The sequence below is a fragment of the Homo sapiens genome, chromosome 5 (genome assembly GCF_000001405.40).
Source record: "Homo sapiens chromosome 5, GRCh38.p14 Primary Assembly".
In the NCBI taxonomy this organism is placed as follows: Eukaryota; Metazoa; Chordata; class Mammalia; order Primates; family Hominidae; genus Homo; species Homo sapiens.
In genome coordinates this window covers 44661935-44674498 of record NC_000005.10, presented here as the reverse complement: position 1 = coordinate 44674498, position 12564 = coordinate 44661935, and the positions used below count along the sequence as shown (strand labels likewise).

The 12564-nt window shown below is 41.1% G+C and overlaps 3 annotated features.

Moving 5' to 3' along the window:
• Positions 4786 to 5454: an enhancer, noted in NCBI's record as "H3K4me1 hESC enhancer chr5:44669147-44669815 (GRCh37/hg19 assembly coordinates)". NCBI's record gives its function as "activates a minimal SCP1, AML or CMV promoter by ChIP-STARR-seq in primed H9 embryonic stem cells {active_cell/tissue: H9 hESC(primed)}" and the evidence as "EXISTENCE:reporter gene assay evidence [ECO:0000049][PMID:30033119]".
• Positions 9546 to 10046: an enhancer, noted in NCBI's record as "H3K4me1 hESC enhancer chr5:44664555-44665055 (GRCh37/hg19 assembly coordinates)". NCBI's record gives its function as "activates a minimal SCP1, AML or CMV promoter by ChIP-STARR-seq in naive H9 embryonic stem cells {active_cell/tissue: H9 hESC(naive)}" and the evidence as "EXISTENCE:reporter gene assay evidence [ECO:0000049][PMID:30033119]".
• Positions 10047 to 10547: an enhancer, noted in NCBI's record as "H3K4me1 hESC enhancer chr5:44664054-44664554 (GRCh37/hg19 assembly coordinates)". NCBI's record gives its function as "activates a minimal SCP1, AML or CMV promoter by ChIP-STARR-seq in naive H9 embryonic stem cells {active_cell/tissue: H9 hESC(naive)}" and the evidence as "EXISTENCE:reporter gene assay evidence [ECO:0000049][PMID:30033119]".

Here is a 12564-nt window from a genome sequence, read left to right as displayed (position 1 = left end):
GGGTACATGTGCACAATGTGCAGGTTAGTTACATATGTATACATGTGCCATGCTGGTGCGCTGCACCCACTAACTCATCATCTAGCATTAGGTATGTCTCCCAGTGCTACCCCTCTCCCCTCCCCCCACCCCACAACAGTCCCCAGAGTGTGATGTTCCCCTTCCTGTGTCCATGTGTTCTCATTGTTCAATTCCCATCTATGAGTGAGAATATGCGGTGTCTGGTTTTTTGTTCTTGCGATAGTTTACTGAGAATGATGATTTCCAATTTCATCCATGTCCCTACAAAGGACATGAACTCATCATTTTTTATGGCTGTATAGTATTCCATCATGTATATGTGCCACATTTTCTTAATCCAGTCTATCATTGTTGGACATTTGGGTTGGTTCCAAGTCTTTACTATTGTGAATAATGCCGCAATAAACATACGTGTGCATGTGTCTTTATAGCAGCATGATTTATAGTCCTTTGGGTATATACCCAGTAATGGGATGGCTGGGTCAAATGGTATTTCTAGTTCTAGATCCCTGAGGAATCGCCACACCGACTTCCACAATGGTTGAACTAGTTTACAGTCCCACCAACAGTGTAAAAGTGTTCCTATTTCTCCACATCCTCTCCAGCACCTGTTGTTTCCTGACTTTTGAATGATTGCCATTCTAACTGGTGTGAGATGGTATCTAATTGTGGTTTTGATTTGCATTTCTCTGATGGCCAGTGATGGTGAGCATTTTTTCACGTGGTTTTTGGCTGCATAAATGTCTTCTTTTGAGCAGAGTCTGTTCATGTCCTTCACCCACTTTTTGATGGGGTTGTTTGTTTTTTTCTTGTAAATTTGTTTGGGTTCATTGTAGATTCTGGATATTAGCCCTTTGTCAGACGAGTAGGTTGCGAAAATTTTCTCCCATTTTGTAGGTTGCCTGTTCACTCTGATGGTAGTTTCTTTTGCTGTGCAGAAGCTCTTTAGTTTAATGAGATCCCATTTGTCAATTTTGGCTTTTGTTGCCATTGCTTTTGGTGTTTTAGACATGAAGTCCTTGCCCATGTCTATGTCCTGAATGATAATGCCTAGGTTTTCTTCTAGGGTTTTTATGGTTTTAGGTCTAACGTTTAAGTCTTTAATCCATCTTGAATTGATTTTTGTATAAGGTGTAAGGAAGGGATCCAGTTTCAGCTTTCTACATATGGCTAGCCAGTTTTCCCAGCACCATTTATTAAATAGGGAATCCTTTCCCCATTGCTTTTTTTTGTCAGCTTCGTCAAAGATCAGATAGTTGTTGATATGCGGCGTTATTTCTGAGGGCTCTGTTCTGTTCCATTGATCTATATCTCTGTTTTGGTACCAGTACCATGCTGTTTTGATTACTGTAGCCTTGTAGTGTAGTTTGAAGTCAGGTAGTGTGATGCCTCCAGCTTTGTTCTTTTGGCTCAGGATTGACTTGGCAATGTGGGCTGTTTTTTGGTTCCATATGAACTTTAAAGTAGTTTTTTCCAATTCTGTGAAGAAAGTCATTGGTAGCTTGATGGATGGCATTGATTCTGTAAATTACCTTGGGCAGTATGGCCATTTTCATGATATTGATTCTTCCTACCCATGAGCATGGAATGTTCTTCCATTTGTTTGTATCCTCTTTTATTTCCTTGAGCAGTGGTTTCTAGTTCTCCTTGAAGAGGTCCTTCACATCCCTTGTAAGTTGGATTCCTAGGTATTTTATTCTCTTTGAAGCAATTATGAATGGGAGTTCACTCATGATTTGGCTCTCTGTTTGTCTGTTGTTGGTGTATAAGAATGCTTGTGATTTTTGTACATTGATGTCGTATGCTGAGACTTTGCTGAAGTTGCTTATCAGCTTAAGGAGATTTTGGGCTGAGACAATGGGGTTTTGTAGATATACAATCATGTCGTCTGCAAACAGGGACAATTTGACTTCCTCTTTTCCTAATTGAATACCCTTGATTTCCTTCTCCTGCCTAATTGCTCTGGCCAGAACTTCCAACACTATGTTGAATAGGAGTGGTGAGAGAGGGCATCCCTGTCTTGTGGCAGTTTTCAAAGGGAATACTTCCAGTTTTTGCCCATTCAGTATGATATTGGCTGTGGGTTTGTCATAGATAGCTCTTATTATTTTGAGATACGTCCCATCAATACCTAATTTATTGAGAGTTTTTAGCATGAAGGGTTGTTGAATTTGTCAAAGGCCTTTTCTACATCTATTGAGATAATCGTGTGGTTTTTGTGTTTGGTTCTGTTTATATGCTGGATTACATTTCTTGATTTGCGTATATTGAACCAGCCTTGCATCCCTGGGATGAAGCCCACTTGATCATGGTGGATAAGCTTTTTGATCTGCTGCTGGATTTGTTTTGCCAGTATTTTATTGAGAATTTTTGCATCAATGTTCATCAAGGATATTGGTCTAAAATTCTCTTTTTTGTTTGTGTCTCTGCCCGGCTTTGGTATCAGGATGATGCTGGCCTCATAAAATGAGTTAGGGAGGATTTCCTCTTTTTCTGTTGATTGGAATAGTTTCAGAAGAAATGGTACCAGTTCCTCCTTGTACCTCTGGTAGAATTCGGCTGTGAATCCATCTGGTCCTGGACTCTTTTTGGTTGGTAAGCTATTGATTACTGCCACAATTTCAGACCCTGTTATTGGTCTATTCAGAGATTCAACTTCTTCCTGGTTCTAGTCTTGGGGGAGTGTATGTTTCCAGAAATTTATCCATGTCTTCTAGATTTTCTAGTTTATTTGCATAGAGGTGTTTGTAGTATTCTCTGATGGTAGTTTGTATTTCTGTGGGATCGGTGGTGGTATCCCCTTTATCATTTTTTTTGCGTCTATTTGATTCTTCTGTCTTTTTTTGTTTATTAGTCTTGCTAGCGGTCTATCAATTTTGTTGATCCTTTCAAAAAACCAGCTCCTGGATTCATTAATTTATTGAAGGGTTTTTTGTGTCTGTATTTCCTTCAGTTCTGCTCTGATTTTAGTTATTTCTTGCCTTCTGCTAGCTTTTGAATGTGTTTGCTCTTGCTTTTCTAGTTCCTTTAATTGTGATGTTAGGTTGTCAATTTTGGATCTTTCCTGCTTTCTCTTGTGGGCATTTAGTGCTATAAATTTCCATCTACACAGTGCTTTGAATGTGTCCCAGAGATTCTGGTATGTTGTGTCTTTGTTCTTGTTGGTTTCAAAGAACATCTTTATTTCTGCTTTCATTTCGTTATGTACCCAGTATTCATTCAGGAGCTGGTTGTTCAGTTTCCATGTAGTTGAGTGGTTTTGAGTGAGATTCTTAATCCTGAGTTCTAGTTTGATTGCACTGTGGTCTGAGAGATAGTTTGTTATAATTTCTGTTCTTTTACATTTGCTGAGGAGAGCTTTACTTCCAAGTATGTGGTCAATTTTGGAAGAGGTGTGGTGTGGTGCTGAAAAAAATGTATATTCTGTTGATTTGGGGTGGAGAGTTCTGTAGATGTCTACTAGGTCTGCTTGGTGCAGAGCTGAGTTCAATTCCTGGGTACCTTGTTGACTTTCTGTCTCGTTGATCTGTCTAATGTTGACAGTGGGGTGTTAAAGTCTCCCATTATTAATGTGTGGGAGTCTAAGTCTCTTTGTAGGTCACTCAGGACTTGCATTATGAGTCTGGATGCTCCTGTATTGGGTGCATATATATTTAGGATAGTTAGCTCTTCTTGTTGAATTGATCCCTTTACCATTATGTAATGGCCTTCTTTGTCTCTTTTGATCTTTGTTGGTTTAAAGTCTGTTTTATCAGAGACTAGGATTGTAACCCTTGCCTTTTTTTGTTTTCCATTTGCTTGGTAGATCTTCCTCCATCCTTTTATTTTGAGCCTATGTATGTCTGTGCACATGAGATGGGTTTCCTGAATACAGCACACTGATGGGTCTTGACTCTTTATCCAATTTGACAGTCTGTGTCTTTTAATTGGAGCATTTAGTCCATTTACATTTAAAGTTAATATTGTTATGTGTGAATTTGATCCTGTCATTATGATGTTAGCTGGTTATTTTGCTCGTTAGTTGATGCAGTTTCTTCCTAGTCTCGACGGTCTTTACATTTTGGCATGATTTTGCAGTGGCTGGTACCGGTTGTTCCTTTCCATGTTTAGTGCTTCCTTCAGGACCTCTTTTAGGGCAGGCCTGCTGGTGACAAAATCTCTCAGCATTTGCTTGTCTGTAAAGTATTTTATTTCTCCTTCACTTATGAAGTTTAGTTTGGCTGGATATGAAATTCTGGGTTGAAAATTATTTTCTTTAAGAATGTTGAATATTGGCCCCCACTCTCTTCTGGCTTGTAGAATTTCTGCCAAGAGATCTGCTGTTAGTCTGATGGGATTCCCTTTGAGGGTAACGCGACCTTTCTGTCTGGCTGCCCTGAACATTTTACCCTTCATTTCAACTTTGGTGAATCTGACAATTATGTGTCTTGGAGTTGCTCTTCTTGAGGAGTATCTTTGTGGCATTCTCTGTATTTCCTGAATCTGAATGTTGGCCTGCCTTGCTAGATTGGAGAAGTTCTCCTGGATAATATCCTGCAGAGTATTTTCCAACTTGGTTCCATTCTCCCCGTCACTTTCAGGTACACCAGTCAGACATAGATTTGGTCTTTTCACATATTCCCATATTTCTTGGAGTCTTTGCTCGTTTCTTTTCATTCTTTTTTTCTCTAAACTTCCCTTCTTGCTTCATTTCATTCATTTCATCTTCCATCGCTGATACCCTTTCTTCCAGTTGATCGCATCGGCTCCTGAGGCTTCTGCATTCTTCACATAGTTCTCGAGCCTTGGTTTTCAGCTCCATCAGCTCCTTTAAGCACTTCTCTGTATTGGTTATTCTAGTTATACATTCTTCTAAATTTTTTTCAAAGTTTTCAACTTCTTTGCCTTTGGTTTGAATGTCCTCCCATACCTCAGAGTAGTTTGATCGTCTGAAGCCTTCTTCTCTCAGCTCGTCAAAGTCATTCTCCATCCAGCTTTGTTCCGTTGCTGGTGAGGAACTGCGTTCCTTTGGAGGAGGAGAGTCGCTCTGCTTTTTAGAGTTTCCAGTTTTTCTGCTCTGTTTTTTCCCCATCTTTGTGGTTTTATCTACTTTTGGTCTTTGATGATGGTGATGTACAGATGGGTTTTTGGTGTGGATGTCCTTTCTGTTTGTTAGTTTTCCTTCTAACAGACAGGACCTTCAGCTGCAGGTCTGTTGGAGTACCTGGCCGTGTGAGGTGTCAGTCTGCCCCTGCCGGGGGGTGCCTCCCAGTTAGGCTGCTCCGGGGTCAGGGGTCAGGGACCCACTTGAGGAGGCAGTCTGCCCGTTCTCAGATCTCCAGCTGCGTGCTGAGAGAACCACTGCTCTCTTCGAAGCAGTCAGACAGGGACATTTAAGTCTGCAGAGGTTACTGCTGTCTTTTTGTTTGTCTGTGCCCTGCCCCCAGAGGTGGAGCCTACAGAGGCAGGCAGGCCTCCTTGAGCTGTGGTGGGCTCCACCCAGTTCGAGCTTCCCGCTGCTTTATTTACCTAAGCAAGCCTGGGCAATGTCGGGCGCCCCTCCCCCAGCCTCGCTGCCCCCTTGCAGTTTGATCTCAGACTACTGTGCTAGCAATCAGTGAGACTCCATGGGCATAGGACCCTCTGAGCCATGTGCAGGATATAATCTCCTGATGCGCTGTTTTTTAAGCCCATCGGAAAAGCACAGTATTCGGGTGGGAGTGACCCAATTTTCCAGGTGCCGTCTGTCACCCCTTTCTTTGACTAGGAAAGGGAACTCCCTGACCCCTTGCACTTCCCAAGTGAGGCAATGCCTCGCCCTGCTTCGGCTCGAGCGTGGTGCGCGCACCCACTGACCTGCGCCCACTGTCTGGCACTCCCTAGTGAGATGAACCCCGTACCTCAGATGGAAATGCAGAAATCACCCATCTTCTGCGTAGCTCACGCTGGGAGCTGTAGACCGGAGCTGTTCCTATTCGGCCATCTTGGCTCCTCCCATTCATTTTAGTTTTAACAACTCTAAGATAGACTTTGATTTCAAACAGACTTTCAAAAATTTTTTCATTTTTCTGAATGACAATGAATTGCCATGTTTCAAAAAGTTAAACTTCATAATTCAACTTACTTTGTTTCCTTACTTGTGCTAACTTGGAAGTCATCCACACATCTAGGTGAATCTTATATCAGGAGAACCCCTGATATAGAAGGATATAGTTATTTGAGCCCCCATCTCAAAAGCTAACAACTCATCCAAACAATAGTTCATTGCTTCTCTAAGATACAAAAAAATTCTGATAATAATTAGCAATACTATCTAATGTCAACAAAGGAACAGACCTAAGATTTCATTTAAGTTCCCAAGTTTACTTTTAATATCAGTCAAAAATCTGTTGCTAACTACACTGCCCTCCTCCTCTGTTAGCAATTTCTCAGGCAATTGTTGATTTCTCATAATGGTACCATTACCAGTTTTCCCCTGCCCACCTTCACACATTCACATGCCCTGCCATTGATGGGTTGGATGCCACCAGCACTCATTTCACGAAGGATTTTCAAACACTGGTAATGTCTACTGAAGAGGTCATGTGTTTTCTGTCAATCACCTTCTCTGTACCTAACAGAGAATTTCCCAGACCTCCTTGGTGCTACCAAAAATAAAACTTTAGAGTTCTGTTGGACTAGCCAGTTCTAGCTCTTTCAATAGATTCAACTTCTTTCCATGGAATAGTGAAACATCTTTGAAAGATTATTGCTTTATTATTTTTATTGTATCAATACGACAAATGCCACACTCACCGTAGCTCAGAGGGGAGGATATATCGTCTTTCTTAGTCACTTTTTCCTACACTCTACAATTCTCCCTTAGAACCTGCTTAAAATATAATTTTAAAAGCCAAAACCAGCTTTTACAAATAGTCCTAGACTTTAGATTATCCTGAAAAGCACTTGGATATGTTTCATGTACAACTAGAAAGTGTTAAATATATGTGGATATTACCATTAATGAATTTCTAAATTTTTTTTCTAGTGTGAATTTAAGGTTTTACAAATCCTTGAGTCTAAAAATCATTACTGCATTTAAAGTTAGGATAAAAAAAGTTTCAGCTTTCCACAAAAGATTAATAGCTAGTCTTTGTAAAATTATTACACCTTAACAAAGGCCAATTCTGAATTGAAATTTCATTGTTCACCTTTACTTAAACAAATCATTTCAGTTAAAGTAATTTATATTCACCATTATTTTTAATTAATATGATTGTGCTTGTGTCTGTAACAATTAAATTTAATTCTTAAAAAGAACTTCCTAGTGAAGGCTGGCTGAAGAGAGGTCTTGCTGGGAATTTCCCAGATCTAGAGAGATTGTGTGACTCTGTTATCTATGTTTATGGGATGTAGAAATGATAGCAAGTGCATGATTATAAAGCCAAAAGTGAACTTCTATGGCAAACCATGCCCAGGTGTATTGTGTTCTATAGAAATGCCTAAGCCAAATCCAAGAAGTAAAACTGGAGCATTAATTCAAGTAACTGAAACCAGAATTTAAATTATACAGCAAAACTATGTCTACATAACTAAAGATTTAGAAAAGGAATAAGAAGTAATGGAAGAGACAAATGAAAGAAAGCCATAATTCATATTAGAAATAGAGTTTGGATATTTTTAATGGTATTTCAACAATTCTATTACAAGCATGATGTGTTCATTGGGTGGGGATGGGACTAGTAATACACCTTGTTCTCTATCGTAATGTCCTTGCTAGACCTGCATATAATAAATTTAACCCATTAATCTGGTTAATTATAATGTATAATTATGTGAAATTATTATGAGATATGTTTTGAAATTTTATTTTTTTCTATTTAATTTACAAAGATTTAAGTGCCTACTATATGTCAGGTCTTACACTATCTGATACACGTATAGTGAAAAGAAAGAAATCTGCTCACAACTGGCAATGATTCTAGTGCTGAAAATAGAAAATAATATAGACTGCAAAAATGTGAAGCACATACACAAAAAGATATGAAAGGAGATAAGGAGTTTATTTTAGATGGGATAGTCAGAGAAGACTCTGAAAAGATAACATTTGAAATAAGACACTAAAGATAAAAATTAAATAACCTACAATGAACTGGAAGAAGATAGTCTGATGGATTTGGCTTGCTTGCTTGGATCAATGGTGATGGCATTAACTGAAATGAGGAAGATTGTATGAGAAACAGATATTGTAGGTTTGTACATTTTGGACATAACTTTGAGGCATCCATCATATAGACAGTTGTGTATATAAATATGGAGCTCAGTGAATGATCTGGCCTAGCAATATCAACATAAAACATAAAAATTATCAGCATTTGATTGTATTTACAGTCAAAAGAGTGAAAACACCTAGGGACAGAGTATAGATGTAAAAAAGAATAGATTTCAGGAAAGGCAGTTTAGGAATTCCAGCATAAAGAGTTGAAGAAGGTATTGGAGGAGTAAGACAAATTGTGTAAGAAATGGAAGGGAGAAGCTTGAGACATTTTTTTAAAAAGAAAACAGGAGTCAGTGGTGTCAAGAGTGACAAGAAAGGAGAGTGTTTTAAGAAATAGGGAAGAGCTGCTGTGTGTAACATCATTGAGAAATCAAGGGAGAAGAAGACAGAGATATAGTCCAATGGAATTGGTAGCGGGATGATTTTGGTGACCTTGAGAATAAAAGTTTCAGTAGTGTGGTGGGGATGAAAGTGAGATTTGAATGGATCAGAATCTGAATGGGAGGTGAGGATGTGGATATGACAATTCTTGATTACTTATTTAAGAGACTTTGCTATTGTCACATGATCCTTAGGGTGTCACTTTGCAAGCCAGAAACTTCTGTGGCCGGCAGTGCATCTGCTGGGGTTTTTGCTTATGCATGCTGAGGTCATTCCACCCACTCAGTTTGGCAGGCTGCGGCTGGCTCATGCTACCAGCCTGGATCCTATGCCTGCCAAGGGCAAGCCAGGCCCAGAGCGGTGAGGGTTGTGTGGGTGATCCAGTACGGGGTCTGGCCACTGTCCACAGCGAGGCACACTGGCTGCTGTGGTGGGGAGGGCAGCTCCAGGCTCTGGCACAGGTGTCGGCTCCATGTGAGGCTGTGGCTGGACCAGACATATTTCATGCAGCCTCTGCTGCAGGCACCAGCCTCTGGAGGTGTTGGTGCTTGAGAGCTGGGAAACAGCAGGAACCTTAGAGCCCCAAAGAGGGTATTACAGTGAGTCACAGCGCTGACTCAATGAACCTCAAGGTCTGGGCTCCCAGAAGGACTGCTATTCTTTACTCCCTAAGTCAGAAAACATGTCATCACCCACAGGTTGGTGAGCCACTCAGTAACATGTTCCAGCTCTTTTCGCTCTTCAACGGGTCCTGAGTTCTTGTCCCGCTTCTGGGAAGAATAAAGTTATGCAGACAACTGGAGAGTGAGTAAGGCAGAGAGAAGCTTTATTGAACAACAGAACAGCTCCCTGGACACCCAAAGGGGGCAACTCCTCTCCACAGGCAGGTCATCCTGAAGAGTGAGTCTAGCTGAGTCTGGCGTTTTTATGGGCTCAGAAGGGAGGAAGTGGGTGCTGATTGGTCCATGGGTGGCCATGGGCAGGCCTGGAAAAGGAACCACAAATTCTCATTCTAGGTCACGACTCCACCCAGAACTGGCAGCCCAGCTCCCAGGCTTCAGGCCATCCCTGGCTTGGCTTGAAGGTGGGGTTTCACTGGGTACCTGCCCCTTCCTGCCTAGGAACCTGTTTGCCTCCCACTGCCATCAACATGCTGTCCACACACCCAGGCTGTCCATGCTGAGAGGCGCCTGCAGGTCCACGCCAAGCCGCCCTCAGGCCCCACCCAAGCTCCCTCCCTGGGCTTGTTGGTACCCAAAGCTTCAGAGGGGACTGAGGCAGCAGGGGGCTGGTGTGTCAGCACTGCCCTGAGTGCGGGCACACCTGGCCAGGTCACAACAACACCTGGGCTCAGCTACAACTTTGCTTTGTGCTGGAGCAGGTGCCGGGAACAGGAGAGGCCCAGGGAAGGGGAGCAGGCACTTCCAAGCATGCAGGGGCAGGAGGCTTCATGTGCTCCCTAGAGCACAGGGATGCCTGGATCCCGAGCGGTGGCTGCGCAGCTGCAGTTGCACCTGGGAGCATGGGGCTCTCACACTGCCACCTCAACAGGGAGCAGGGCTCTCTCCTATTCCCAGCCCCCATGGGCTCCGCAGAGCAACCAGCCCCAGCCACACCTCCCCCACTGCAGGTGACATCTCCACAGCAGCTGCTCCAGATGGGCCTCTGCTGCCATCACTATGACACTAAGCAGAGTAATGAGCCCTATCTAGTGAGAAATGGAGATTTATCTTTTTAAAAATATGGCATAGTAAACACACTTTAGAGGCTAGTGAGGATAATACAATAAAAAGGAAAGCAATATTGATAAAGAAGATATAAGATGATTATACAGGCAAAATCCTTGCGAGGACAAGGGAGAATGAGATCTGGAGCACCAGTGGAGAGTACTGTCCTGGTTGACTGTAGCAGGGATAGTTTTTTTATTGACTAGGAGCAGCACCAGATCCATATACCTGCAAGCAGGACAATTTGGTAGTGTGAAAATAAGACAGTTTCCTTACAATAAAATGTGTTGAGTTAATTTAAAATAAATAACAATTTCTAGTTTTTCAATGAAATATGACAGTATGAAGATTATTAGGTGGGATATGCATGTATGTGTGTGTTTGTGTGGTGAGGGGAGTTGTGAAGGGTTTGAAAAAGAAAGAAGGTTTAAAATTGTTTCCTTGGAAAGGTAGATGCAATTTACTATGAAAAGAGAGCAAAACCACACAACATTAGAAAGTATGCTTTTTTTTTTTTTTTCCTTTGCCCTCTCCCTTTGACCTATCTCAGATCAGTTCCCTTTTTCTCTCTGCCCATACTGGCCCTCCAATTCTCAATACATAGTTCTTTCTTTTACTCAGGGATTGAATATATATTGTTTATTTTATGTGGAATTCTCTTCTTCGTGTCTGTACTGGCTAACTTATTTTCTTAATTTAACTTTCATTTTATTTTATTTTATTTTTATTATCATTATACTTTAAGTTTTAGGGTACATGTGCACAACGTGCAGGTTTGTTACATGTGTATACATGTGCCATGTTGGTGTGCTGCACCCATTAACTCGTCATTTAGCATTAGGTATATCTCCTAATGCTATCCCTCCCCCCTCCCCCCACCCCACAACAGTCCCCGGTATGTGATGTTCCCCTTCCTGTGTCCATGTGTTCTCATTGTTCAATTCCCACCTATGAGTGAGAACATGCGGTGTTTGGTTTTTTGTCCTTGCGATAGTTTGCTGAGAAAGGATTATAAATCATGCTGCTATAAAGACACATGCACACGTATGTTCATTGGGGCACTATTCACAATAGCAAAGACTTGGAACCAACCCAAATGTCCAACAATGATAGATTGGATTAAGAAAATGTGGCACATATACACCATGGAATACTATGCAGCCATAAAAAATGATGAGTTCATGTCCTTTGTAGGGACATGGATGAAGCTGGAAACTATAATTCTCAGAAAGTATGTTTTTAAATGTACAATTGGTAATTTAAAATAAAACCAGTCGACCCATTTATATCATTTTATTCCATAAAATTCATAGGCATAAAGAAGGTGGAAAACTGGATCCCAAGAGGGTTTGAGTGTATTAGGTAAAGTAACCTAGTGTGTTTAGAAGTGAGTGATTGAAATAGTGCATCAAGAAATAGGAGGAAGAAAGTAAAGACAGGAGAGAATAATGAATAAAAAAAGTGGTGGAACAAGTGAATTGGATTAGAGTTTTTAATATGGTGGAAGAATTGTTTCTGTGAGCTGAAAGTAAAGAAAAGACAGAAAAATTGGGAAGTACTTGAAATCAGGATTTCAGACATGGGTGTATTTACTCATGATAATGTGCATGATCCAAGCATTATTTGGGAATGAGTGGCTAAGGCTATTGAAATTAAAGATTGCTGTATGTGTGGCAGGTAAAGAAATGATTGACCAGTGCTGTATGTATCACTCCCTTGGGTGCTCAAGTCATCAGGAATACAACAGGGCTAGAGGTAGAGGTATGTGAGTTTTCAGTGTATGAGGGACAGTGACCACAAATTCCAGAGAGCAGCAATAAAGGGCAGAGTGTAGCACGAAATGAAAGTTGAAAGACCTTGCATTTGGGAAGAATGAAGGGAAGAAGGAAATGAAATGATTTAAAAGCAGCAGTGGGAAGCAAGGGATCTCCTAATGCAATACCTAGTCCTGGGACAGATGAGAAAGAAATAGAACAAACAGCTTCCTTTTGAGAGGTCCTCCAGGGAAGTAGCATAACCTGGTTTTAGTCAAGGTAAAGATAACAAGGATAAATGAGACCGTGTTGATCACATATGAGTGTTTCAAGGAGCAAAGAAAAAGGGTCTGAAGAGGGAAGGCATATAGGATGTGTCAGATTAGAGGATGATGGATGATGATTAGATTAAGACATCTCAAATCAAACCATACACTGCAAAGCT